Source organism: Homo sapiens, chromosome 3, assembly GCF_000001405.40.
Source record: "Homo sapiens chromosome 3, GRCh38.p14 Primary Assembly".
Classification (NCBI taxonomy): domain Eukaryota; kingdom Metazoa; phylum Chordata; class Mammalia; order Primates; family Hominidae; genus Homo; species Homo sapiens.
In genome coordinates this window covers 120,054,605-120,082,432 of record NC_000003.12, presented here as the reverse complement: position 1 = coordinate 120,082,432, position 27,828 = coordinate 120,054,605, and the positions used below count along the sequence as shown (strand labels likewise).

Sequence of the window (27,828 nt, the reverse complement as noted above, 5' to 3'; positions counted from 1 at the left end):
ACAGCAAGACTCTTTCTCAAAAAAAAAAAAAAAAAAAAAAAAAAAAAGAACATACTAATTTGGGCTAGCCACATTTCAAGGGTTCATTAGCTACATGTTGCTAGTGGTTATTGTATTGGACAGTGCAGGCTTAGAATTTTGTCCAGGAATTATATTATTTTTGTTATTTTTAAGTAATAGAAAAGGTGTGTGTGGTTTAAAAACACTTCATTGATTTATGCCTTTGTTTTTAATCATGTTTTCAGCTTATTTTGAGATTTAAAAGAGGTTGAAAATTGTTACGTTTTTCAGAAGGGGGCTTGCTGTAGGGTGGGTAGTGATTCTTTCCACCCTTATTTTAGTAAAACTGTTAAAATAGGTATTTAAATTTTTGCTGTTAAGATAATTAGGTGTTGTCCTTACCATGATTGCCTTGGCCTCCGTGGAATTTTTTCGATGCAAATATTCTTTGTCATATATTATTTCCCCTTGCTGTTTCAAAGACCTTAGCTGGCTTTCAGTCTCAAATGCCACCTCTTTAGTCATTCATGCTTATCTCAAGGCATGAAATTCACTTTCATATAACTCCTTCAGCACTCTCTGTGACCCTTCTAATGTTCTTCCTTGTATTCTTGTTAATGTGTCTTGTTTCTCCGTAGGAGATCATAAGTTCCAACATGACATAAAAATATTTTATGCATCTTTGTATTTTCTGCAGTGTGGAGCACAGTCCTTTTTGTATTGGGTCACTTAGTACATATTCTAGTTGAAGGCAGTTTGTCATGTGATATGGTGTCTAGTGGTATGATAGTTTACAGGTCACCAAGCTATTGCTGATGTTTCTAGGAACATTTAAGTTTTGATGTAAGAAATTAAGTTAAATTTGTGTTTTGTTTGTTTGTTTTTTTGAGATGGAGTCTCGCTCTGTTGCCAGGCTGGAGTGCAGTGGCGCGATCTTGGCTCACTGCAACCTCCACCTCCTGGGTTCAAGCGATTCTCCTGCCTCAGCCTCCCCAGTAGCTGGGACTACAGGCATGCACCACCACGCCCAGCTAGTTTTTGTATTTTTAGTAGAGACAGGGTTTCACCATGTTGACCAGGATGGTCTCTATCTCCTGATCTTGTGATCCGCCCGCCTCCCAAAGTGTTGGGATTACAGGTGTGAGCCACCGTGCCCGACCCTGTTTTTTTTTTTTTTCTTAAATGTGAAGGAATGATAGTAGGGAAAGGAAAGAGACATAGAGTATACAGACACTTCTGTTGCACTGTGTGCTTAGCACTGAGTGGCTCTGAAATCTTTGGATGGATGACTGAAAGAAAGGACTTGGGTGCTAGGTTGCACTGGTTGGTAAGCACAGTACCTTTGAAACATTGAGCATATGACGCTACTACGGTATCCCCTTACATTATTTTATTTGGAGTGGGTAAGGACTGAAGAGAGATTTATAACAGTGAAACCTGACAGTTCAATTTCTTTCCTTTCACCAAGTAGCTTACTCTGCAAAAGAATAAAGTAAACAGACAGTATTTAAATATGAGAAGTCTTTTCATCATGGATGTACTTAGGTATGTAATTGTATTGTGGGGGAGTTGTGAAACTGTAATTTTTTTTCTTTTTTTTTTTGAGACTGAGTCTTGCTGTATTGCCCAGGATGGAGTGCAGTGGCGTGATTTGGCTCACTGCAATCTCTGCCTCCCAGGTTCAAGCAATTCTCATGCTTCAGCCTCCCGAGTAGCTGGGATTATAGGTATCCACCACCACGCCTGGCTAATTTTTGTATTTTTAGTAGAAGCAGGGTTTCATAATGCTGGCCAGGCTGGTCTCAAACTCCTGTCCTCAAATGATCTGGATGCTTTGGCCTCCCAAGGTGCTGGGATTACAGGCATGAGCCACTGCACCTGGCCGAAACTAATTTTTACAAGACCTCTTTTTGGGTCTTTAAGATGATGTTTGTTTGTTTGATATGTTAGTATGTCAGTTCTAGAGCTTTCCCAGAGAGGGTGAGAAATATTAATAAACAATAGGGTTTCTATTGCTAAATAATACAACTTCTTTTTTTTTTAATTAGAGGAAAGAGTGTCGTCGTCTTCTCCTTCTTCCTTCTACCTTCTTCCTTCTTCCTTCGTCTTCCTTCTTCCCTCCCCCTCCTCCCACCTTTTTTGGAGACAGAATCTTGCTCTGTTTATCAGATTGTAGTACAGTGGTGTGATCTTGGCTCACTGCAGCCTCAACCTCCTGGGCTCAAGCAATCCTCCCACCTCAGCATCCACATTAGTTGGGTCCACAGGAGTGCGCTACCATGCCTGGCTCATTTTTGTATTTTTTGTAGAGACGAGATTTTGCTATATTACCCAGGCTGGTCTCGAATTCCTGAGCTCAGTCCAGCCACCTTGGTCTCTCAAAGTGCTGGGATTGCAGGTGTGTGCCACCTCACCTGGCCATAATACAAATTCTTAAATAGTGGTCGAATATGACTTTCTGTATTTGGTTTTGAAAAATAAATTGCTTTCCACATATCAGCATGGTATTTCCTTCTGTGATTAAATGTGTGCATTGTGAGATGTTTGGCTGGTATAGGGTACAATTCTTAGACATGGAAGAAATTTACTTTCTCTGTAAGTAGCAAATACTTGTTATGCCCTTCTTGAACCAAGAGGATTTACTAAAGAACAAGGTATAATTCTATTTAAATTCAGTTGAACATCAGGAATAACTTTTACTGAGAGACTCTGAGGCCTTTAAAAAATATGTTTATATAGGCCGGGTGCGGTGGCTCACTCCTGTAATCCCAGTACTTTGGAAGGTTGAGATGGGTGGATCACTTGAGGTCAGGAGTTGGAGACCAGCCTGAGCAGCATGGTGAAACCTCATATCTACTAAAAATACAAAAATTAGCCGGGTACGGTGGCAGGTGCCTGTAATTCTAGCTACTAGGGAGGCTAAGGCAGGAGAATCGTTTGGACCTGGGAAGTGGAGGTTGCAATGAGCCGATACTGCACTACTGCGCTCCAGCCTGGGCAAGAGAGCAAGACTGTCTCAAAAAGAAAAAAATGTTTAATATGTATCTACTTGTGGCAGTAGTCTACTTATTAAAAAAAAAAATGTGTGTGTGTGTGTGTGTGTGTGTGTGTGTGTGTGTGTGTGTGTAATTTCCTGTCAAGGTTGTAGAAAATTAAAGGAGAGTTGTGCTTTTTCAAAGGATAGAGGAGACAGGCCAGGTGCAGTGGCTCATGTCTGTAATCCCTCCCAGAGGGAGACTGAGGAGGGGCGGATCGCTGAGGTCAGGAGTTCGAGACCACCCTGGCCAACATGGTGAAACCCTGTCTCTACCAAAAATACAAAAATTAGCTGGGCATGGTGGTGCATGCTTGTAATCCCAGCTACACGGGAGGCTGAGGCAGGAGAATCGTTTGAACCTGGCAAAGCAGAGGTTGCAGTGAGCTGATACCGTGCCACTGTACTCCAGCCTGGGCGAGACAGCGAGACTGTCTCAAAAAGAAAAAAAAGTGTGTGTGTGTGTGTGTGTGTGTGTGTGTGTAATTTCCTGTCAAATTGTAGAAAATTAAAGAAGAGCTGTGCTTTTTGAAAGGATAGAGGAGACAGGCCAGGTGCGGTGGCTCACGTCTGTAATCCCTCCCAGAGGGAGGCTGAGGCTGGCAGATCCCTGAGGTCAGGAGTTTGAGACCACCCTGGCTAACATGGAGAAACCCTGTCTCTACTAAAAATACAAAAATTAGCTGGGCATGGTGGTGCACGCTTGTAATCCCAGCTACACGGGAGGCTGAGGCAGAAGAATCGCTTGAACCCCAGAGGCAGAGGTTGTAGTGAGCCGAGATCGTGCCACTTGCTCTCCAGCCTGGGAAACAGCAAGACTCCATCTCAGAAAAAAAAGAAAAAAAAAAAAAAAGAGGAGAAGTTCTAGTATGATATTTCTGATATTTCTGCTCTACATTGGAGAAGGAGAACTTAGTTAGAAACAAAGGGTGTGTTTGTCGTATTTGTCATGACTTCCAAAATGGGAGCAGGTGGGCCAATTCCTGGGTCGTTAGAAAAGAAGACCCAGAGACAGGAGATTGTCTTCCGGCACTGTGTGGGCTATGGTATCAATATAAGTTGTATAGCTTGTTGGCTTTCAGTATTTATTTAGGAGTAGGAAATTGTTCTAAAATGCATTTCACATTATATCTAATTAAAAACACATCTTTTTTTGTGTTAATTTCTTACATATAGCTGAGAAAGCCTAGACTTTCTAAAGTCTAGGAAAGAGGTGAGAAATGCTGCTGTGGACCATAGGAGTTGGGGTGGGGGAAGAAGCTAATTAGAAAAAAGTTTGTGGTCATGATAGATTTTGAGTTTCTCTGGATGCTGTTAATGATGGCCGGAATTTTAGAATTCAGATTCAGCTACTCTTTGAATGTTTATTGTGTGCCAAGCACTCTCATTCCATTTAACTTTCATAATGCTCTGTGACAATATTTGCCCCATTTAATGAGTGAAGAATCTGAGGTTAAAAAAAATATATTTTTTTAATTGATTTATTCCGGGGCCTTACAGTTAGTAGGGAATAGGTTCCAGATGTTGATCCCAGGCCCTCCAGACTTGAAGTAAAGGAAGAAAATTTTTTGAGTACTTACCATGTCATTGTACAATAGTAAGCAATTAATTTAAAATAAATGTTACTATGTATATTTAAGATATACAACATGATGTTAATATGATACATATTATAATAAAATGGCTACTGTAGTAAAAGAAATTAACATCTCCATCTCACATAGTTACCCACCCCCTCTCCCTCGCCCCTACCAAGAGCAACTGTAATCTACTCAACTCTTAACAAAAGCCTAGATACAATACACTATTATTAACTATAGTCTTCATGTTGTACATTAGATCTTTTGACATGTTTATCCCAGGTATTTGCTACTTCCTATACTTTGACCTACATCTCCCCATTTCCTCCCCTGCTCAACCTCTGCTAACCAGTTTACTCTCTATCTCTGTATATTTGACCTTTTTTTGAAAAAAGATTTCACATATAATTGAGATCATGATATATATTTTTTTCTGTGTATAGTTTATTTCAGTTAATGTCCTTCAGGTCCATCCATATGTGTGTGTACACACACACATATATATATACACACACTGAAGTTTAACCATTCGTCCATTGATGGACACCTAGGGTTGTTTCCATATGTTGGCTGTTGTGAATAATGCTGTAGTGAACGTGGGAATGCAGATATCTTTACGAAGTGATGATTTCATAATATTTTGTATATACCCAAAGAATAATTACTGGGTCATATGATAGTTCTATTTTTAGTTTCTTTAGAAACCTCCATACTGTTTCCAGAGTGGCTGCACTAATCTGCATTCTCACCAACAGTGTACAGAGGTTCTCTTTTCTCTACACCTCTACCAACACTTAATCTCTTATTTTTTATTTTTATTTTTTTGATAATAGATATCCTAACAGGGGTGAGGTGGTATCTCATCATGGTTTTGATTTCCATTTCTCTGATGATAAGTGATGTTGAGCACCTTTTCATATACCTGTTGGCCGTTTTTTAGGTCACCTTTAGGGAAATGTCTATTCACCTCCTTTGCCCATTTTTTTTTTTTTTTTTTTTTTTTTTGAGACGGAGTTTCGCTCTGTCGCCCAGGCTGGAGTGCAGTGGCGCGATCTCGACTCACTGCAAGCTCCGCCTCCCGGGTTCACGCCATTCTCCTGCCTCAGCCTCCCGTGTAGCTGGGACTACAGGCGTGCGCCACCATGCCCGGCTAATTTTTGTATTTTTAGTAGAGACGGGGTTTCACCGTGTTAGCCAGGATGGTCTCGATCTCCTGACCTCGTGATCCGCCCGTCTCGGCCTCCCAAAGTGCTGGGATTACAGGCGTGAGCCACCGCGCCCAGCCGCCCATTTTTAAATAGAGTTATATGTTTTCTTGCTGTTGAGTTGTATGATGTTTTTATAAATCTTGAATATTAACCCCTTATCAGATATATGGTTTGCCAAAATGTTTTCCCAGTCTGTAGGTTGTCTTTTTATTTTGTTGTTTCCTTTGCTGTGCAGAAGCTTTTTAGTTTGATGTAGTCTCATCTATTTTTACATTTGTTTCCTGTGTTTTGGTGTCATGGAAAAAGTCATTGCCAAGACCAATGTCAAGGAGATTTCTCCCTATGTTTTCTTCTAGGAATTTTGTGGCTTCAAGTCTTATGTTTAGGTTTTTATCCATTTTGAGTTGGTTTTTGTGTCTGGTGTAAGATGAGGATTCAGTTTCATTATTTTGCATGTGGAAATCCATTTTTCCCAACACCATTTATTGAAGAATTGTGTTGTCTTGGTGCCTTTGTTGAAACATAGTTGACGGTCTATGTTTGGATTTGTTGCTGGGCTCTCTATTCTGTTGCACTGGTCTGTGTGTCTGTTTTTATGGCAGTACTAAACTATTTTGATTATAGTTGCTTTGTAATTTAATTTTAACTCAGGAAGCGTGAAGCCCCCAACTTTTTTTTTTCCTCAGAATTGCCTTGGCTGTTCAGAGTCTGGTGGTTCCATGTGAATTTTAGGATTGCTTTTTCTACTCTTGTGAAGAATGCCATTGGGATTTTGATAGGAATTGCGTTGAATCTGTTTTGTTGCTTTGGGTAGTATGATAATTTTAACAATATTCTTTTGATCCATGAGCATGGAATTCTTTCCATTTATTTGTGTCCTCTTCATTTTCTTTCATCAGTAGTTTTAGTTTTCAGTGTACAGGTCTTTCAACTTTTTGGTTAAATTTATTCCTAAGTATTTTGTTTGTTGATACTAACACAAATGGGGCTGTTTTCTTAATTTCTTTTTCAGCTTGGTCATTATTTGTGTATGGAAATGCCATGAATTTTTTATGTTGATTTTATATCCTACAACTTTACTAAATTAATTTATTCAATCTAACAGTTTTTCATGTGGTCTTTGGAGTTTTCTATATATGGGATCATGCCATCTGCAAATAGAGATAATTTTCTGATTTGGTTAACTTTTTTTTTCCTTTTTCTTGTCTAAATACTCTTGATTTAGACAAGCTCTTCCAGCACTTCTAGTATTCTGTTGAATAGAAGTGGTCAGAGTGGGCATCTTTGCCTTGTATCAGGTCTTAGAGGAAAAGTTCTCAGTTTCTCGCCATTGATTATGTAGTTAGCTGTGGGTTTTTCATAGATGGCCTTATTATACTGAGGAACTTGCCTTCTATATTTAAACTGTTAAAGAGTTTTTATCAAGAAAGTTTAACTTTGTTGAATGCTTTTTCTGTCAGTTGATATGATTGTGTCATTTTTCTTTCAGTCTCTTAATATATCACATTGATTCATTTGTGTATGTTAAACCAGCTTTGGATGCCCATATAAATCCCACTTGATCATGATGTGTAATTTTTTGATATGTTGAATTTGACTTGCTAATACTTTATTGAGGATTTTTGTATCATCAGTGTTCATCAGAGATACTGGCCTGTAGTTTTATTTTCTTGTAATGTTTTTGTCTAGCTTAGGTATCAAGGTGATGCTGGCCTTATCAAATGTGTTACAGCTCTATTATTTGGAAGAGTTTAAGTAGTATTGGTATTCTTAAAAAGTTTGGTAGAATTAAGCTGTGAAGCTGTCTGGTCCTGACCTTTTCTTTTTTGGGAGGATTTTAATTACCACTGGTTCAATCTTTTTGTTTGTTATGGGTCTATTTAGGTTTTCTATTTTTTTTCTGATTCAACCTTGGCAGGTTGTACTTTTTTAGGTATTCTTTTCTTCTAAGTTATCACATTTGTTGGCATGTAATTGTTCGTAACAGTTTCTCAGCGCTGGGTGTGGTGGCTCACACCTGTAATCCCAGCACTTTGGGAGGCTGAGACGGGCAGATCATGAGGTCAGGAGTTCGAGACCAGCCTGACCAAAATTAGCCGGGTGTGGTGGTGCGCACCTGTAATCCCAGCCACTCAGGAGGCTGAGGCAGGAGAATCGCTTGAACCCGGGAGGTGGAAGTTGCAGTAAGCCAAGATCGTGCCACTGCACTCCAGCCTGGGTGACAGAGTGGAACTCTGTCTCAAAAAAAAAAAAAAAAAGTTTCTCATGACCCTTCTTATTTCTTTTCTTTCTTTCTTTCTTTTTTTTTTTAGAGACAGGGCCTCACTCTGTGACCCAAGCTGCACTGCGGTGGTGCGATGTACATTCACTGCAGTCTCAATTCCTGGGCTCCAGTGATCCTCCCACCTCAGCCTCCTGAGTGGTACTGCAGATATGTGCTACAACGCCCAGCTAATTTTTGTATTTTTTGTAGAGAGAGTGTTTCACCATGTTGCCCAAGCTGGTCTTGAACTCCTAGACTCAAGTGATCTATCCACCTCGGCCTCCCATAGTGCTGGGATTACAGTCGTGAGCAGCGGCACCTGGCCAACTGTTTTTATTTCTGAGGCTTCTATTGTAATGTCTCCACTTTCATTTCTCATTTTGTGTATTTTGGACTCCTCTCTTTTTGTGTAGTCTAAGGGTTTGTTGATTTTATTTTTTTAAAAAACCAACTCTTTGTTTTATTGTTTTTCTCCATGGGTTGTCTATTCTCTATTTTAAGCAACTTGTTTGTATCTTATTTAATTTTCATCACAGTCTTCTAAGGCAAATTGAATTTATAAATGAGGAAACTGACGCTTACAGAGCCTTACACAGCCAGCAAGATGCATAGCCATACTTCGAACCTGTTCTCTTAATTGCTCCACTGTATGGCCTTTATAATTTGGAGAGGGAATAAGATAATTGCCCGAAATTGGAAGAATTAAGGTTTTTTAGGGTACGGCTTAGGAACTTCTACTTTTTGTAGTGTTACTTATGGAGGAGAAAGTAATTGTCAGTCATATATAAGTACAGTTTATTTTATTTTAAAATAAAAATTTTAAGAGCAAATACCTTGCTTTTAAAACTGATCTGGCTAGCTATAAAACAGTGGCTGTGAGAGATGGGTAAGAAGTGTAGTTGAAATCCATATTGCAAAATCAGTTTTGAGCCTGAGCTCCTATCCTTTTCTTTTCTTCTTTGAGATGGGGTCTTGCTCTCTTGCCCAGGCTGAAGTGCTGTGGTGTGGTTGTGGCTCACTGCAGCCTACCTCCTGGGCTCAGGTGATACTCTTGCATCAGCCTTTCAATTAGCTAGGACTACAGGCCCGCACCACCATGCCAGGCTTTTTTTTTTTTTTTTTTTTTTTAATTTTTTTTGTAGAGATGAGGTCTCCCTATGTTGTCCAGGCTGGGCTTAAGCAATTCTTCTGCCTTGTCCTCTCAGAGTGCAGGGATTATAGATGTGAGCCACAGAGCTCAGTCAGGATCACTTTAACAGATGAAACTGAATCTTAGAGAAGTTAAGTAACTCTTGCCAAGGTTTCATAGCCAGCAGGTGGCAGAGCCTGGATTCCAACCCAGGTAATTTAGTCTAGAGCTCTTATTCTTAACTACTTTACTGTCCTAAGAGTATGCGAATGTACAGAAATGGAGCCTTGCTACCTCTGGTAACTTGAAGGCACCAATTTTGCGTTCAGTTAACATATCATAGTTTGATCCAAGGCAAGAACAGAAGTGTTAACACTTCACCTGCCTCTGTCCTTATTATTTCCCATGGTTATTGGTCTCAATAATTTTTGTTGTTGTTTTATATTATTCTTGCACTGGAAAATCCTTTGTACTTAGTTGTCATTTAATAAATGATGAATGTTGAAAAATAAGCCAGAAATTGAAAACTTTGAATCTTAAATATAGAGACCAAATTGTAATACATAGTTGATTGTCATGTTTTTCTTTTTAAGAAGTTATTTTTATAGTGTTTGAAGATAATTATTATTATTATTTTTTTGAGACTGAGTCTTGCTCAGGCTGAAGTGCAGTGGCATGATCTCGGCTCATGGCAACCTCTGCCTCTCAGGTTCAAGCGATTCTCCTGCCTCAGCCTCTCGAGTAGTTGGGATTACAGGCACGTACCACCATGCCCTGCCAATTTTTGTGTTTTTGGTAGAGACTGGTTGTTCTCTACCATGGCGAACTACCATGGTGTTCGCTGTGTTGGCCAGAGTGGCCTTGAACTCCTGACTTCAAGTGATCCTCCTGCCTCAGCCTCCCAAGGTGCTGGGATTACAGGCGTAAGCTACCGTGCCCGGCCGAAGATAATTAAATATTAATAGAAAAGGTTGATTTATCATTTTCATGAGTTGGAGAAAATTTTCTGTGCCTCTGAATCGAACTTTTCTTAGTTGATGAGTGTTTTAAGTGTCAGTTTACAGTGAAATCCTGTGATGATACAAAATTTAGATATAGTATAATTGACTCTCATCCTCTGCCATGCCTATTGTCTGCAGGTGAGGGCCAGGCTGACATTTCATTTTTAATCATTGACTTAATATTCAGTAAGTAAACCTGATATGTGAACTTTTCTCTCCCTTTCCTTTCTATTCTGTAACTGGAAGACTAATGGAAAAATACAGTTTTCTGTTAACTTTGCAATAAGCCCTGTGTTTCATGTATTAATAGTTGGATTTTTTAGACCCCACTTAAAAGAGTATATCTGGGTTCTTAATGTGGTGGCAGTGGTCCCAAACCTTCTTGGCACCAGGACTGCTTTTGTGGAAGACAATTTTTCCATGGACGAGCGTGGATGGTTTTAGCATGATTCAAGTGCATTACATTTAATGTGCACTTTATTATTATTACATTGTAATGTATAATGAAATAGTTATACAACTCATCATAGTGTAGAATCAGTAGGAGCCCTGAGCTTGTTTTCCTGTGACTAGACAGTCCCATCTGGGGGTGCTGGGGAGACAGTGATAGATTATCAGGCAGTAGATTCTCATAAGGAATGTGCACCTAGATCCCTCGCATGTGTGCTTTACAATAGAGTTCACGCTCCTATGAGAATCTGATGCTGCTGCTGATCTTACAGGCGGCAGAGCTCAGGTGGTAATGTGAGCAATGAGGAGCTGCTGTAAATACGGATGAAGCCTTGCTCCCTTGCCTGCTGCTCACCTCCTGCTGTGCGGTCTGGTTCCTAACAGGCCACAGAAACCCCTGATATATAGCGTTTAATATATAGGATACTCATATAACCAGAGGTACTTATTTCCTAGCTCAACTATATGGAATTAAGATGGGAACTAGATAGTAGATAAAAATGAGCACTGAGGAGCTAAAAGAGTGATCACAGAATCTGAAGTAAAGTTGTTGTTTTTTTATTTAATCGATGTGAAAGTCCTTTGGCCAGTGTCTCCCACAGTAGTTACTCTAAACGATGTTGTGCTGTAATAAATAGTCTGTGGCCAAAGTTTAGGAAATGCTGCTTATAGCATCCCTCAAAGGACTGCCATTCTTTGGATCAGACTTTGGAAGCTCTGCATTAGGTGTATTTAGCCCTTGTTTTTATTTGAGAAGGGGAGGAAACAAACATTTAATGAGGATTTGCTCCACTGGGTCTAAGTGGTATCTCCATTTTGCAGACAAGGAGTCTGAGTCCCTGCTGGTGGGTAAAGGACACAAAACTAATAATGAGGCAGAACTCGGAATGGATCCCTAATCTTGCCGATTCCTAAGTTTTTGCCCTTTTGAACTACGTTGGCACTGTGTGGTTATAATGAACTGCTGTCTATTAGACTTTACTCCTTAGGAACAGCAATTTGGCAATATATACAAGGAAAAGACTAAGCTGCCCTACTTAGGGAAGAAGAAAAGGATAATAAGTTGACTATTCAACACAGGTTCCACATCATTTGCTTTGTATATTAATAGATGAACTCTGTGTGTTTCTATAGTGAAAGATTTCAGACACGACTGTAAAGTGCTTTTTGAGTGAGATTTGATACCATCTTTAGGTATTCCATACATTTTTTTTTTTTTCTGACATTGTAGGACCATTTTAGCCTCATCTCTGATCAGGTATAGTACAGCTTAGGTAAGATATTAACTTTTTATAGCTTCATTGTCCTTATTTGGAAGTGGTGATAGTAACTACCTTTCTGAGTGATTGTGAAGCAGGTAATTATGCATGTAAGATGCTTAGTACAGTGTCTGGCACATAGTAATCTTAGCTGCTGTTATTATTAGCAGTAATAACAATAATAAGGCTTAGGTTGGGTTGTTACCTTTCTATATCCTCTTTTTTTTTTTATTTAAACTGTTATATATACAGGATGTTTTTTTTTTTTGTTTTTTGTTTTGTTTTGTTTTGTTTTTTGAGATGGAGTCTTGCTCTGTTGCCAGGCTGGAGTGCAGTGGTGCAGTCTCGGCTCACTGCAGCTTCCACCTCCTGGGTTCAAGTGATTCTTCTGCCTCAGCCTCCCAAGTAGGTGGGACTACAGGCACACACCACCACACCCAGCTAATTTTTGTATTTTTAGTATAGACGGGGTTTCGCCATTTTGGCCAGGATGGTCTCGATCTCTTGACCTCATGATCCACCCACCTCAGCCTCACAAAGTACTGGGATTACAGGCATGAGCCACCGCGCCTGGCCTTCCCCTATATTTATTTAAGGAAAAATCATCACCAGATGCATTTTTAAAGTAATAGAAATTCCATCTTAAATATATTTTATAGGGCATTAAGAAAGTTGCAGTTGTCACTAGGGATCTGGAAGTTTTTAAGTGAGTATTCGTAATCAGGAAATGTTGGCCTAGTAGGTACCTTTAAAGTTTTGTTTGTGTTTAATGTGAAATGTGTATTTTCAATAGATGTGATGTTTGTATAGTTAATATTTTTAGACTGCATTTTTTTTTTTTTTCCAAAAACTGTTTTCAGGCTAGTCTGTATGCACTGGCAGTCTGGTTTGTATTGACCGTTAGGTATTGAGTTTTAATAAAATGTTCAAATATGATGGACATACCACATTATGGTGAGATGTGAATGAAGATTGTCCCCCACACCCCCAACTGGGTTGTCCACAGCTGTATTCAGTAGAATTAACTTAAATGGTCCAAGATACTCTTCAAAAATTTGAATAACTATTTGGGACCATTCAGTACCGTGAAGGCTATTAACTGTGAATTGAGTTAAGCAGAATACTGTATGTTTTAGTTTTTTCTTTAGTTTTTATTCTTCTCAATTTTGAGGAAGTTGGGGAGAGAAACCTTTCCCCTACTCTGAAAAATTTTCTCTTCCTTCCTTTTTATTTCCTACTTTGAAATAGCCAAGATCATTGGGACCTCTAAGAATATCAGATAATATTTACAGCTTGAGGTAGAGTGATTTTCATGGGAAACCTTTTCTCATAAAGTAAAATACTCTTCGTCCCTGTCAGGACATTTTTAGAGGAGCAGCAGACAGCCCCTCACTACTTTGTCATTACCCAGGGCAAGGGAAGGGAAGAATGAATGACAGGTTTCTTCTTTTTTCTTTTCCACCACTTGTTTTCCTTTCCCTTTCCTTCCTTTCTTGTTACCCTTAGGTGTCTGTGGGTTCTGAATTTGGATTTCAGCAGAATGGAGTAATTTTTATTAAACTTTTTAGGGAACCTGGTACTCCCAAACAGATAGTGAATACTTTTTTCCATTTTGGGGTTTTTATTTTTATGTCACTTTTAAATTATTAAGAAGTTTTCAATTATATAATACTAGATAGACTAGTTTAATAAACCACTGTATATCCATCATCAATTTCTATAATTACATGGTCAATCATACTTTTTCTATACCGTTACTACTAACCCCCAATTTATTATTATTATTATTTATTTATTTATTTATTTTTTGAGACAGGGCCTCACTCTGTCACCCAGGCTGGAGTGCAGTGGCGTGATCTCAGCTCACTGCAACCTCCGCCTCCCGGATTCAAGTGATTCTTCTGCCTCAGCCTCCCGAGTAGCTGGGATTACAGGTGTGCGCCAACATACTGGTTAATTTTTGGATTTTTAGTAGGGACGGGGTTTCACCATGTTGCCCAGGCGGGTCTTGAACTCCTGACCTCAAGTGATCTGCCCTCTTTGACCTCCCAGAGTGCTGGGAATACAGGCATGAGCCACCGCTCCTGGCGTCCCAAATTTTTTTTTTTTTTTTTTTTTGAGACGGAGTCTCACTCTGTTGCCCAGGCTGGAGTGCAGTGGCGCGATCTCAGCTCACTGCAACCTCCGCCTCCCAGGTTCAAGGTATTCTCCTGCCTCAGCCTCCTGAGTAGCTGGTATTACAGGCGCGTGCCACCATGTCTGGCTAATTTTTGTATTTTTAGTAGAGATGAAGTTTCACCATGTTGATCAGGCTGGTCTCGAACACCTGACCTTGTGATCCACCCACCTCCGCCTCCCAAAGTGCTGAGATTACAGGCATGAGCCACCGCGCCTGGCCCCAAATATTTTTAAAGCAAATTTCAGACATCATATGATGTTTTTGGAAAATACTATTTGTTTCTAAAAGAGAAGGATGCATAAGACAAAGAAATACAAATACAGCACCATGATTCCGCCTTTTAAAAATTAAAGAATTCTGTAACATCAGATCCAGTCAGTATTCACATTTCTGTGATTGTATCTTTTTTTCCCTTAAAAACATGGTTTGTTTTTTTACTAAAGATTCAAAACAAGGTCCGTAGCATTTGGTTGCTATTTTTAACTCTCCTTTCAATTGGTAATATTTTTTGTTTAGCTCTTCCTTGCCATTTATTTATTGAGGAAATCAGATCATTTGTTCTTTGGAATTTCCCACATTCAAGGTTTTGCTGATTGCATCCCTGTGGTTATTTAACAAGCTCCTTTATTTCTTGTATGTTCTGCAAATAGTTGGTTAGACTTTTTAGTCAGATTACTTTATTGCATGGTACTGAATACAGGTGATCCCGAATTCATGATGGTTCAACTTATGATTTTTTGATTTTATGATACTGCAAAAGTGATATGCATTCAGTAGAAGCTGTACTTTGAATTTTGATGCAAAATTCTTTATAATAACTTTGTTATAAAGTTTTATGTCAGGGCTTTGTGTTAGGTGATTTTGCCCAACTATAGGCTAAATTAAGTGTTGGATCATGTTTAAGGTAGGCTAGGCTAAGCTGTGATGTTTGGTAGGTTAGGTGTATTAAGTGCATTTTCAACTTACAATATTTCCAGTTTACAGTGGATTTAGTGGGCGTACTCCATTTTATGTCAGGGAGCATTTGTATTTCCTATTGCATAACATCAGGTGTCATGTGATGCCTAGTTACCTCTCTTTTTTTTTTTTTTTTGATGTTACAGTTGATTACTGCGTCTATTCTTTTGAAGAGATCCTTTATGTATTATAAAGTTCCCCATCAGTCTTTCACCTAATCTCTTTAACAGTCATTTATGATCATTGTCTAGAAAAGCTTGTCTAATTCCCGGGCCACATGTGGCCCAGGACAGCTTTGATTGTGGCCCAACACAAATTTGTAAACTTTCTTAAAACATTATGAGATTTTTTACAATTTTTTTTTCTTCATCAGCTATCGTTAGTATTCATGTATTTGTGTGGCCCAAGATAATACTTCTTCCAGTGTCGCCCAAGGAACCCAAAAGAATAGACACCGCTGGTCTAGATCAAGGTTTCTGCAAACTACAGCTTATAGGCCAAATACGATCCACTGCTTATTTTGTAAATAAAGTTTTATTAGGATGTAGCCACACTTGTTCCTTTATGTATTATCTGTAGCTGATTTTCACATACAGTGGCAGAGTTAAGTAGTTAAGACAGACTGTGTGTCCTGCAAAGCCTAAAATATTTACTATCTGGCCCTTTATGGAAAGTGTGCTGACCCCAATCTAGATCATTATTTCTTTAGAGATAGCCAATGGTCATATTCTGTCATTCATTTTGTATTTGTAGCTGGAATTTTTCTATAAAGAAGAACTTTACCTCAATTTTATTATTATCCTAAGAAAAAGCAGGGTAAGTCTTGATTCTTTAGCATTTGACAGAAACAGTGAGGTGTTTTCTTCTTTTTAAGTACGTATTTATATGAACCCCCAGTTTTGAGTATATTTGATGTTTTAATCTATTCTCTTTAATTGTCAAATTGTTCCATTTTTGCCAATGTGAGCCCCGTCATGTTGGCTCTTTTTATCTTTCCATATAACCTCAGTAGTCTTTGGTAATCCTGTTTTCTAGTATGACAAGATGTTCCAGGCTCATCTTGTACATCAACTGTCTTAGATATCTAGAACCAGTCATTACTCTAAGGGGTTCTGATTCCTTTTAGTGGGGAGTAGTATTTAGAGAGCACAGTTTGAGTGTTTGTTGCTCTGGGTTGGTGGTTGTTTTTAGGATCTTTTAGTGGACAGAGCTAGGGTGTGGTTGTATGTCTGTGTGATTTTTTAAAAAATTGTGTGAAAATACATATAGCGTTGTATTGACTACTTGAACGATTTTAAAGTGTACAATCATTAGCATTAAGTACCTTCACCACGTTGTGCATCTATTACCAATTAGTTCCAGAGCTTTTCCCTACCCTGCAAGGAAACCCTATATTCATTAAGGAGTCACTCCCCATTTCCCCCTTGCCCCAGACCTGGCATTAATTTGCTTTCCAACTCTGTGGATTTGCTTATTCTGGACATTTGATATAAATGGAATCATACTTTATGTGACCTTTTGTGTTTGGCTTTTTTCCACTTAGAATAATGTTTTCAAGGTTTATCCCTGTTTTAGCATGTATCAGTACTTCGTTCCTGTTTATGGCTGAATAATATTCCATTGTATGCATATATTACATTTTGTTTATTCAGTTGATGGACATTTTCATTTTTTATGGCTTTTGGCTATTGTGAATAGTGTTGCTGTGAACATTTGTGTACAAGTTTTTGTTTGAACACCTGTCATTTCTTTTAGGTCTGTACCTAATAATGAAATTGCAGGGTCATATGGTGTTTCTATGTTTAATTTACTGGACTGCCAAACTGTTTTCCATAATGGCTGCACCATTTCACATTTCCTCCAGCAGTGTAGTAGGGTTCCCATTTCTCCGCATCTTCTTCAAGCCTTATTTCTATTTTTTGATTATTGCTATCCTGGTGGGTATGAACTGGTATTTCATGGTGGTTTTGATTTGCATTTCCTTAATGACTATCGATGTAGAGCATCTTTTTAGGTGCAAACCACCATTGTTGGTGGTTTGTGTATTTTCTTTGGAGAAATGTTTATGTAAGTTCTTTGTCTTTTAAAAACTGGATAGTCTTTTTGTTGTTGAGTTTTAAGTGTTCTTTATATATTCTTGATACTTCACCTTTGTCAGATATTATAACTTCTCCATTCTGTGGGTTTTCTTTTCATTCTCTTTTTAGTGCCCTTTGATGCACAAAAGTTTTAAATTTAGATGAAGTTGAATGTTCCTGTTTTTTTCTCTTCTTGCTTATGCTTTTGGCATCATATCTAAAAAGAGCATTGTCAAATCTAAGGTTATGATTTACCCATATGTTTTCTTCTAAGGGGTTTGTAGTCTTATTTCATATATTTAGGTCTCTGATCCATTTTGAGTTAATTTTAGTATATGGAGTAAGGTAAGGGTCTAGTTGTACAAACTCCATTTGTTGAAGAGCTTATTTTTTTCCGCATTGTGTGGTGTTGGCACTCTTATTACTCATCAGTTGACCATAGATACATGGGTTTATTTTTGGATGCACAGTTCTTATTCCCTTGATCTGTATGTTTGTCTTTATGCCAGTACTACACTGTCTTGATTACTGTAGCTTTGTCACAAATTTTGAAATCAGTAAGTCCTCCAACTTCGTTCTTTTTCAAGATTGCTTTAGGTATTCAGGGTCCCTTACAATTTCATATATATTTTAGGATTGCCTTTTTCATTTCTGCAGAAAAGGCCTTTGGGATTTTGGTAGGGATTGAGTTGAATTTGTAGATCAATTTGGATATTGACATCTTGACAGTATTATGTCTTCCTATCCATGAACACAGGATTTCTTTTCATTTGTTTAGGTTTTCTTTAATTTTCTTTAGCAATGTTTTGTAGTTTTCAAGTTTTGTAAATCTTCAGTTAAGTTTATTCCTAGTTTTTTTTATTTTTCTTTTTGGATACTGCTATAACTTGAATTGCTTATTAGTATCCTTTTCAGATTGTTTATTGTTAGTGTATAAAAATTCTGATTTTTGTGTGTTGATCTTATATTCTGCAACTTTGCTAAATTTTGGAATTTTTTTAAATGGGAAAACACACTGTGATTCATATCAATACTTCCAAATCCGATTTTGTTTCAAGATTAAGGGTTTAGGGTTATAAGGTTTTCTCTCTTTCTTAGCTTTATACTTTTTTTCTCTTATGCTGGAAATTTTGAGAATAATGAATTGCTTTATTATTTATATTTATACATATATATTAGTATTTTTGAAGTTATTGTGAAAAATGGTTGTTGAAAAACAATTTAATAATTCTTTGCAATTAGTATAAATACTAGGGAGGTACAGTTAAATTGCTTTTTCATTAATTAATTATTTATTTAATTTTTTTTGAGACAGAGTCTCACTCTGTTGCCCAGGCTGGAGTGCAGTGGCACAATATCGGCTCACTGTGACCTCTGTCTCCTGGGTTCAAGTGATTCTCATGCCTCAGCCTCCTAAGTAGCTGTGATTACAGATGTGCACCACCATGCCAGCTAATTTTTGTATTTTTGGTAGAGGTGGGGTTTCGCCACGTTGACCAGGCTGGGATCAAGTGATCTGCCCACCTTGGCCTCCCAAAGTGCTGCGATTTTTTTTTTTTTTTTTTTTGAGACAGAGTCTCGCTCTGTCACCCAGGCTGCAGTGTAATGGCACGATCTCGGCTCACTGCAACCTCTGCCTCCTGGGTTCAAGCGATTCTCCTGCCTCAGCCTCCCAAGTAGCTGGTATTACAGGTGCCTGCCACCGCATCCTGCTAATTTTTTGTATTTTTAGTAGAGACAGGGTTTCACCATGTTGGCCAGGCTGGTCTCTACCTCCTGACCTCAGGTGATCCGCCCACCTTGGCTTCCCAAAGTGCTGGGATTACAGGTGTGAGCCACTGCACCCGGCCAGCACTGATTTTTGTATGTAAACAGTTCCATATTGATGGACATTAGGGTATTAAATAGGGAAAGTTTGATGGGACCAGATACTTGGTTCTTCTTGTGGCACTTAAACTTTAAAATATTTTGTTTTCATTTTTATCATAAAGATATTTTACCACGGATACTCAAAACAGTATAGAAGTGCACATAATAAAAAGTTTAAAATGTTCTCTGATTCCCATCTGCCCACTTTTCCTCTATTCATATCTCCAGAAGTTACTACTGGTTAGTTCAAGACTTTTTATTAAAGGCATGTGCAGCATTTATACACTGTGAATGCTTTTTTAAAAAAATTGGGATCATATCATGAATATTCTGCAACTTAATTTTTTAAACATAGCATTATTAGTTAACCTTTTAAGTTTGGCTAATGAGAAAAGAGTCCTGAATATAAATAAGATTTTACAAAATGATTTTGGGCCTTTTTTTCTGTGTCATTGATACTACATACATATTTTTTGCATGTTTGTATGCTTCCTAAATCTTACAGTATTGTAATCTGCTCTAAAGTCCAGAAAGTAGGGTATATATTCCTCTTTACTTTCTCTGTAGGCTCAAACTTATGTTTCGAAAGAAATTGAGAAAACTTTTATTGTTGTAATCAATTATGGTTTAATACTAAAAGTAAATCCAGATACAGTTGAGATGCCTACCAGCAGAGTTGAATGTAAGTTCCATAAAAGTAGGGGAAAAGCCTTCTGATCTTGTTCATCACTGGGTCCCTAGCACCTAGGACAGCGACTACCTCCTCATTCTTCCCATTCTCTGTATTTGTTTTACGTTTTACTATATAAATTATAACTGGATCACGCCATTCAAACTGTTCTGAGTTCTTTTTTCACTTGTCAGTATATCATAGATAGGTTTTCATGTCAATTCTTAAGTATCTGTTCTTTTAAATGAGTGTATTAATGGTGATACTATGGATTACATAATTAGGCAATTTTAAGACTTAATTTGAACTCCTTTTTTTCCCCTTAGACTTTGGTATTAGTGTTTTATCTTTAAATATTAGTGGGAGATACTAAGTTCAGAGTTAGGATGGAGTGAGAGTGTATAACTTGCTGTATATTTTTGAAGCAAACATGTAATGAAAGGTGGTACATGTAACATACTTTAAACAAGTCTAATATGTGATTATTCTGACTATGAATATTGGAGTAGTTCACTTTAAAATATTTTTGGCAATGAATTCACATGAAGAGGAATACAAACAGTCAACATGTAAAAGAGTGTTTAGTATAGTTAAAGAAACAAAAATAAAATAAGATAAAATTATACTCTGTGTTCCCCAAATTGTTAAAAATTAGAAATGCAATACTTAGTTGCTGACAAGGGTTTCAGGAGGTATGTTGCTAAAGGATAATAAATTCATATATGGCCGGAAATGGTGGCTTATGCCTGTAATCCCAACACTTTGGGAGGCCAAGGCGGGCAGATCACCTGAGGTGGGGAGTTCGAGACCACCGTGACCAACATGGAGAAACCCCGTCTCTACTAAAAGTACAAAATTAGCTGCGCGTGGTAGCACATGCCTGTAATGCCAGCTACTGGGGAGGCTGAGGCAGGACAGTTGCTTGAACTCAGGACCCCGAGGTTGCGGTGAGCCGAGATTGCACCATTGCACTCCAGCCTGGGCAACAAGAGTGAAACTCTGTAAAAATAAATAAATAAATAAATAAATAAATTCATATATTCTTTCTGGAGGACAGTTTGGAAGAGTTTCAGAAATTCTGCTTCTAGGACTTTTAAGTAAAATAAATTAAGGGTATGCCCACAAACTTAGATATACCTGACTGTTTATGAAAATTTTAATCCTGGAACTAATAACAATAATAGTGTCTAAACAGTGTTTCTTTTGTGCCAGACATTACATTTATTTAATCTTCTTAACACTCCTGTGGTATTCACACAGTAAGATTACAAATGATGATGATGTAGAACATTTTACATTGAAATAAATTGATAATAGTGAAAATAGCACATTGCAAAGGAGTATGTGCAGTGTATTTTCAGAAATTGACTGCAACAAAATCTAGAGAATTTGTGAGAATATGCTCTAGAATATTTAGTAAATTATAATCCCGTTATTCAAATAGATTTTGCTATCTTTATTTTCGAATTTTTCTACAGTAAACATGTATTATCTAACAAGAAACCTAAGTTATTTTTTAAAATGTCCTCTGATTTTATAAAATAATTTATTTCTGGATGCCTATAAACAGTAAATTCCTCACGCATCTTTAAAATAGAGATTTAAAGTGTTACTAATGGAATTCTAAGCAACGCTTGGTCAGCACACAAAATAGGAATTGAAATGTCCTTGTACAGCCTTTGATTTCTGCCAATTTGATGGTGTTTTTTTGATGACAGAAATGGAAAGAGTAGAAAGTTAAGGTTAAGCATCTAAAGTTTGAAGCCTGACAACAGAAAAGTGACAAAATCTTTTAAATGTTTATTTGTGGTTGCTGGCAATGAAGCATTACCATAAATAAACAAATAAATAAATAGGTGGACAGATTGACTGACTGACTTGCTACATTTTCATGGTGTTGCAATCAGGTATTTTCTTTTTCCCAGTTGAAACTTAGTAACTCATATTTATTGTTTAACCTTCCTAAGAATTGATTTCTTTCAAATCATCTGAGTCTTTCTGTCCCAAGATTTTCTCTTTTTTGTTTTTTTGAAGCAGGGTCTCGCTCTGTCACCCAGGCTGGAGTGAAGTGGCGTGATCAGGGATCACTGCATTCTTTATCTCCCAGGCCCAAGCAATCCTTCCACCTCAGCCTTCCAAGTAGCTGAGACCACCAGTGTGTGCCACCATGCCTGGCTAATTTTTTTATTTTTGTAGAGACGGGGTCTCCCTATGTTGCCCAAGTTGTTCTTGACCTCCTGGGCTCCAGTGATTCTCCCGCCTCGGCTCCCTAAGTGCTGAGATTACAGGGGTGAGCCACTGTACCTGGCCAAGACTTTCTGTCTTGCTCCTACCCTTTTCAAGAATTGAAGAAATTTGTTCCCAGATTGCTGCTAATGTATCTGGTCTGTCTAGGTCTAATACCTGTGTTAGTTTAATGTAGTATCGTCTTTAAGACCTTGTTAAAATGTTTTTCTTAGGCCTTCTTTTACACCTTTTTAAAAAAATCGGCAGCTGTTGTCCTTGACCCTGCACTTTCCATTTCCCTTCTGTGCTATATTTTTTCCTTCTAACACTTATCACCTTGTAATGTATAATAGATTTTGTTTATCTGTGTCTATTCTTCTCCCCTCCCTCTTTCCGATTTTAAGATATAAGCACCATTGATGCAAGGAGTTTTGTTTTTGTGTGGTTCATTGTGTATTCCCAGAGTTCAGGGTAATGCCTGTGTAGTTCATTGTGTATTCCCAGAGTTCAGGGTAATGCCTGGCATATAACAAGATTTCAGTAAAATTTTTTTTGAATAAATGAATAGTGGGCACTCAGTATTTGTGGAATGATTAGATGTTCTATTTGGTTGATGAAAGTGAAATTTATTCTAAGTGTTTACAGAAGAAGGTTAGGGTTCTATAGCTGTTTTGTAGTATGGCTAGTTCATTGTAGCTCCAGTAATAGAGTTAAATTTATAGGCAGGTTGGAATTTCAGAACTTTGTTCCCTGATACATGGTAGGTGCTTATTAAGTATTGCTAAATGAATGTCAAAAGAAGCTAATAAAGTGAGTGGGGTTGGGGGAAACCTAGCTTGCTGTGAGATTCTGGCCTAACTGGCATAGCCTTTTGGGTGAGGAAGTTGAACTAAGATTTCAGAGCTCTCTTGCTTTCTCACTAAGATTCACCTCCAGGGACTTTGTGTTTGTAAGTATATTCCTTTGGAATTCGGAAGTTGTAAAAAAGTGAATTGGATGAAACTTGCTGTAGGATTGCTTTTTTGGAATCAAAACTGTTGTTGAATGTTAATTAGCACCACAGCTTTGTGTGAAGGCTTTTAGACTTGAGTGATAATGAGATTCATTATTAGAGACAGTGTGTGTTAGGTGTTCCAAGGCTTCCACTTTTATTCATCCAGCACTTGAGACCGACTATATGCTAGGCATTCTGCTAGACTCCTGAAGATACAAAAGTCAAATAGGGCAGTAACGAAGAGAAGAAGATATAAATGTTTGTTCCAGAGTGCTGCTTTTTGAGGTTTGGGGTTTCCCAAAAGGCAGGGGAATTTATTTTATTGAGTATTTTTGGTTTTGATTTAATTTAAATTAAAAGTGAATATGAGCCATTAATTACTGAGAATATGTTTAATCAGAACATAATTTAATATCAATTTGCTATTGAGTCAGTATGTATGTATGTATGTCTTTTTTAAGGAATTAGCATTTATTGAGTATTATATCTTACACTCTTGACATGCATTCTTTTTTTTTTTTTTTTTGAGACAGAGTCTTGCTCTGCCACTCAGGCTGGAGTGCAATGGCGTGATCTTGACTCACTGCAACGTGTGCTTCCTGGGTTCAAGCAATCCTCCTGCCTCAGCCTCTGGAGTAGCTGGGACTACAGGCGCATGCTGCCATGCCCGGCTAATTTTTGTATTTTTAGTAGAGACAGGGTTTTGCCATGTTGCCCAGTCTGGTCTTGAACTCCTGAGCTCAGGTAATCTGCCCACCTTGGCCTCCCAAAGTGCTGGGATTACAGGCATGAGCCACCATGCCTAGCCACATTATTCTTTTGACACAGTCCTCATAATAATCCTGAGGGAGAAGCATTATTACCTGTATTTTACAAATAAGAAAATTGAGTTTAGAGAAGTTAAGTAATTTGTTTAAAGTTTACAGCTTTATAAGTTGTGGATTTCAAACCAGGTTTTTTTTTTTGATACTAAAGTACATTAACAGCAAGACATGCTAAAGATTACTGCATCTTGAGATGTAAGAATTTCTGTATATTTACTCTCAGGAGACTCTATAACTCCACCATCCAAAATTAGCAACTAATTACCGCTAGTGACATGTGGCTGTTGAGCCCCTGAAAGTTGGCTAGTCCAAATTGAGACTGGCTGTACGAATAAAATACACAACAGATTTTGAATACTTAGTTTGGAGGGGAAAAATTCATTAATAAGTTTTACATTGATTACTGAAATGGTATGATTTATATTATATTTTTACATAGTAGTTAAATAAAATATATTATCAGTATAAAAAAGTACATTAGCTTTTTGTGATGCTTCTCAAAGGAAGTTATTATAGTTTTTTTCTTTGTCTGTAGATAATGTTAAATAACAAGATGTATTGACTTTGAATACTGTACTGTAACTGTTCCCCCCAAATTGAATCTTTGGCTTTTTAACCAGAGTATTTAAAAGTACCTTTTTCCTTACTAAATAAATAAAATATTTTTGTTGTAGCAAGCAATACAAGATTGGTGGAAAAGAATAAAGAGAAAGAAGAAAATATAGCTGGGATAGGGAGAGAGAGATTTTGATTGATCCCTTTTAATCCTTTGATGTACAGGTGGTATTTAACATAATACAGTTTGGGCTTCTGACTCTCTGAGAGCTGGAGTCAAATCTGGGCTCCACTATTTAATGGGTTAATGATTGGTGTTTTCATGGTTTTGGGGTAAGTTACTTATTCCGGTTTTGCAAATGAGAGAACTGAGGTTTAGAGATGTCAGCCTATGTCATAGGGTTTTGAAGATTAAATGTGACAAGGCATGTAAAATGCTTGGAACATACCTAAAATTTCTAGGCACATCCTAGTTCTTTGCACATAGCTATATTATCTTTTACTAAAATGAGTCAACAAAAATTGTAACTGCTTATTTTGAACTTTTAATATATATCTATCTTTCCACAGGAATCAAAACATTTAAAATTATCAGATGATAACTAATATATACAATGGAATGCTGTAATATATTCAGTATCCTCTTCTTGCTAGACATTTAATTATTTCCAGTTTTACTTTTTGCAGTTAATGAAATGCATAGGTGAATATTTTCGTAGCAGAACTTTACCTATGTTCTTATCTGATTAGGATAGAGTTGGTTGGTTGAAGAGTATGTATACTTTAAAGATTTTTGACCCATTTTGCTGAATTGCCTTCTAGAAGTTCCTAGTCACGTTACTAGGATTTACATGTAATCCTAGAATTTATCTGGCGACCTGTTTTTCTAAATTCTTATTAAATGAGATATTATAATTTAAAAAAAATTGTTGATTTAACCACTTTTAATTTTTACATTGCTTTGATTACTAGTAAGTTCGAAGGTTCTTTTTCTTTTTCTTTTTTCTTTTTTGAGACAGAATCTTGCTCTGTTGCCCAGGCGGGAGTGCAGTGGCACGATCTTGGCTCACCGCAACCTCTGCCTCCTGGGTTCAAGCGATTCTCATGCCTCAGCCTCCTGAGTAGCTGGGACCACAGGCATGAGCCACCACGCATTGCTAATTTTTGTATTTTTTTAGTAGAGACAAGGTTTTGCCATTATGGCCAGGCTGGTCTTGAGCTACTGGCCTCCAGTGACCCGCCTGCCTCGGCCTCCCAAAGTGCTGGGATTATAGGCATGAGCCACTGTGCCCAGCTTCTGAAGGTTATTTTTCTACCTGTATATTGGCCCCTTGTGTATTATGCTGTTTTCCCATTAGTGTTTCATGTCCTCATTCCCATTTTGGGGGTATCTGTCACTCTTCTGGCTTTGGGGTCATGCTCAGAGAAACTTGCTCTTCCTCAAACTATAAATTGGCAGTGTTTAAACTTCTTGCTCTCAGGACTCCTTAGTACTCTTAAAAACTATTGAGAACCTCTGGTCAGGCACAGTGGCTCATGTCTGTATACCAGCACTTTGGGAGGCCAAGGTGGGGCAATCACTTGAGGTCAGGAGTTCGAGACCAGCCTGGCCAACATGGTGAAACCCCGTCTCTACGAAAAATACAAAAATTAGCTGGGTGTGGTGGTGCACGCCTGTAATCCCAGCTACGTGGGAGGCTGAGGCAGGAGAATCACTTGAACCTGGAAGGTGGAGGTTGCAGTCAGCCAAGATCGTACTAGTGCATCTCCAGCCTGGACAACAGATCGAGACTGTGTCTCAAAAAACAAAACTATTGAGAACCTCAAAGACTTTTGTTTACTCCATCTCAAAAAACGAAACTGTTGAGAACCTCAAAGACATCTGTAGATCTTTGCCATCTTAGAAATTAAAAGAGACATTTAAAAAATACTACTTTATTAAGATATAGTAAGCCATTTACATGTTAACATTTTTAATGAAAATTACATTTTCCAGAATAAAAATTACCAAGAAATTTTTCATTTTTGCCAGTCTGTTGCTTAATAGAAGATACCTGGATTCTGTATATGCCTCTGCATTTAATCTGTTGCAGTATCACATGATGTGTACCCTCTGGAAAAGTTGATTGTATAATCAGGAGAGAATGAGAATTAAAAAGGCAAATGATGTTATTATGAAAATGGTTTTGGCTTTGTGGGCTTCTGAATGGGTTCAAAGATCCCAAGACTACAGTTTGAGAACCACTGATGTAAATAATCACTTATATATTTTCCTTTTGTGTTTTTATGGCTGAATTTAAATTCCGAATAAATTCTAGTGGAAATTTTCTAATTTCTCCCCTCTCCTGCCTACCCTCTCCAATTGGCTAATATTCTTTGTTGAAAGATCCATTTTCATGTAAATAATTGACTGACTAGGATGAAACAGTAGACATATCTGCTTTTTCCCAGTTGTTACTGAGAAGCTCACTGTTCATTGAAAACAGTAGTCTTTGCAGTCTTTCCTTAATGTTGTATCTCTATTTTGGTATATTCCCTTATTTTCTTGATGTGTTCTCCCCTCCTCACTCTAACTCCCAGTTTTACAACAAATTGCCCTAAAATCTTAAAGATTTTTCATTCATACTGATTGTGGCATTTTGCTCTAAATATTGTTTCCTCCCTGATTTAGAAAGTAATTTAAAATGTACATAGAAACATAAACCAAAAAAGAATATTTTGTCGCTTTGAATATGAAAAGTGATATTGATATACTATTATTGCTGTACTGTGATGGAGTATATCACAGGTTATGGAGGTTATTTCAATATTGAAAAAATGCTAGTTGAGTATACATACATTCCTGCACCATTGTTAATAAATTATATTCTTTTTGATGTGTTGCTTAGCTTCTTGGGACCCTTTACTCACTAGACTTTTATTGACAGCTGTGTTCCAAAATACAGTTAGATAAAAAGAACAAGACACATTTTTTTTTCTAACTTTGCAGGTTGGTAGAGAAATACACATGTTCTGTGATAAGTATTATTATAGCCACAAACAATTAAGAATATTATGGGAGGGCCTAGGCAAGATATCGTTAAGAAGTGAGGGAGGAATGAAGGAAAGGGAATTGATTTGAAAAGATTAAGGTTGTACAATCTTCCTTTAGTAGTTGATGATTTCTTTAGGTGTCTGAGTCCAAAGGAGAGAGAAAGGAGGAGTCAAGAAAGACACCCAGATATTTGTCTGGGAAGACCAGATGGATACCAGTGTTTATCAAAATGTGGAATAAGCCCTACTTCCAACAAAACAAAACTCATTACATGTGCTACACTTTCAAAGACACTGTGTTATTGTTTTCCAAGATGAGTTCAATTGTGGGCATGTTAGTTTGAGGGGCCTAGGGTGGAGATTTGTGGAAGCCATTTGGAGAGCTATCAGGAGACTTGTATGAGCTGATGAGCAGTGTAGCATAAGTAGGTGAAGGAAATGCTTAAGATCATCCTTTGAGAATTTTTAGTAGGAGAAGAGAAGATGGTCAGAGACCCTCTGATAATTGAGGGACAGGCA

General features: G+C 37.7%; 1 protein-coding gene across 4 annotated transcripts in view, besides 1 other annotated feature; it reads left to right on the top strand.

The window, feature by feature from the left end:
- GSK3B (glycogen synthase kinase 3 beta) overlaps positions 1–27,828 on the top strand; it is a 273,127-nt gene that overhangs the window by 12,015 nt on the left and 233,284 nt on the right. The window lies entirely within an intron of this gene.
- Positions 528–577: a silencer, noted in NCBI's record as "silent region_14634". NCBI's record gives its function as "represses an Ori minimal core promoter by ATAC-STARR-seq in GM12878 lymphoblastoid cells {active_cell/tissue: GM12878}" and the evidence as "EXISTENCE:reporter gene assay evidence [ECO:0000049][PMID:35858748]".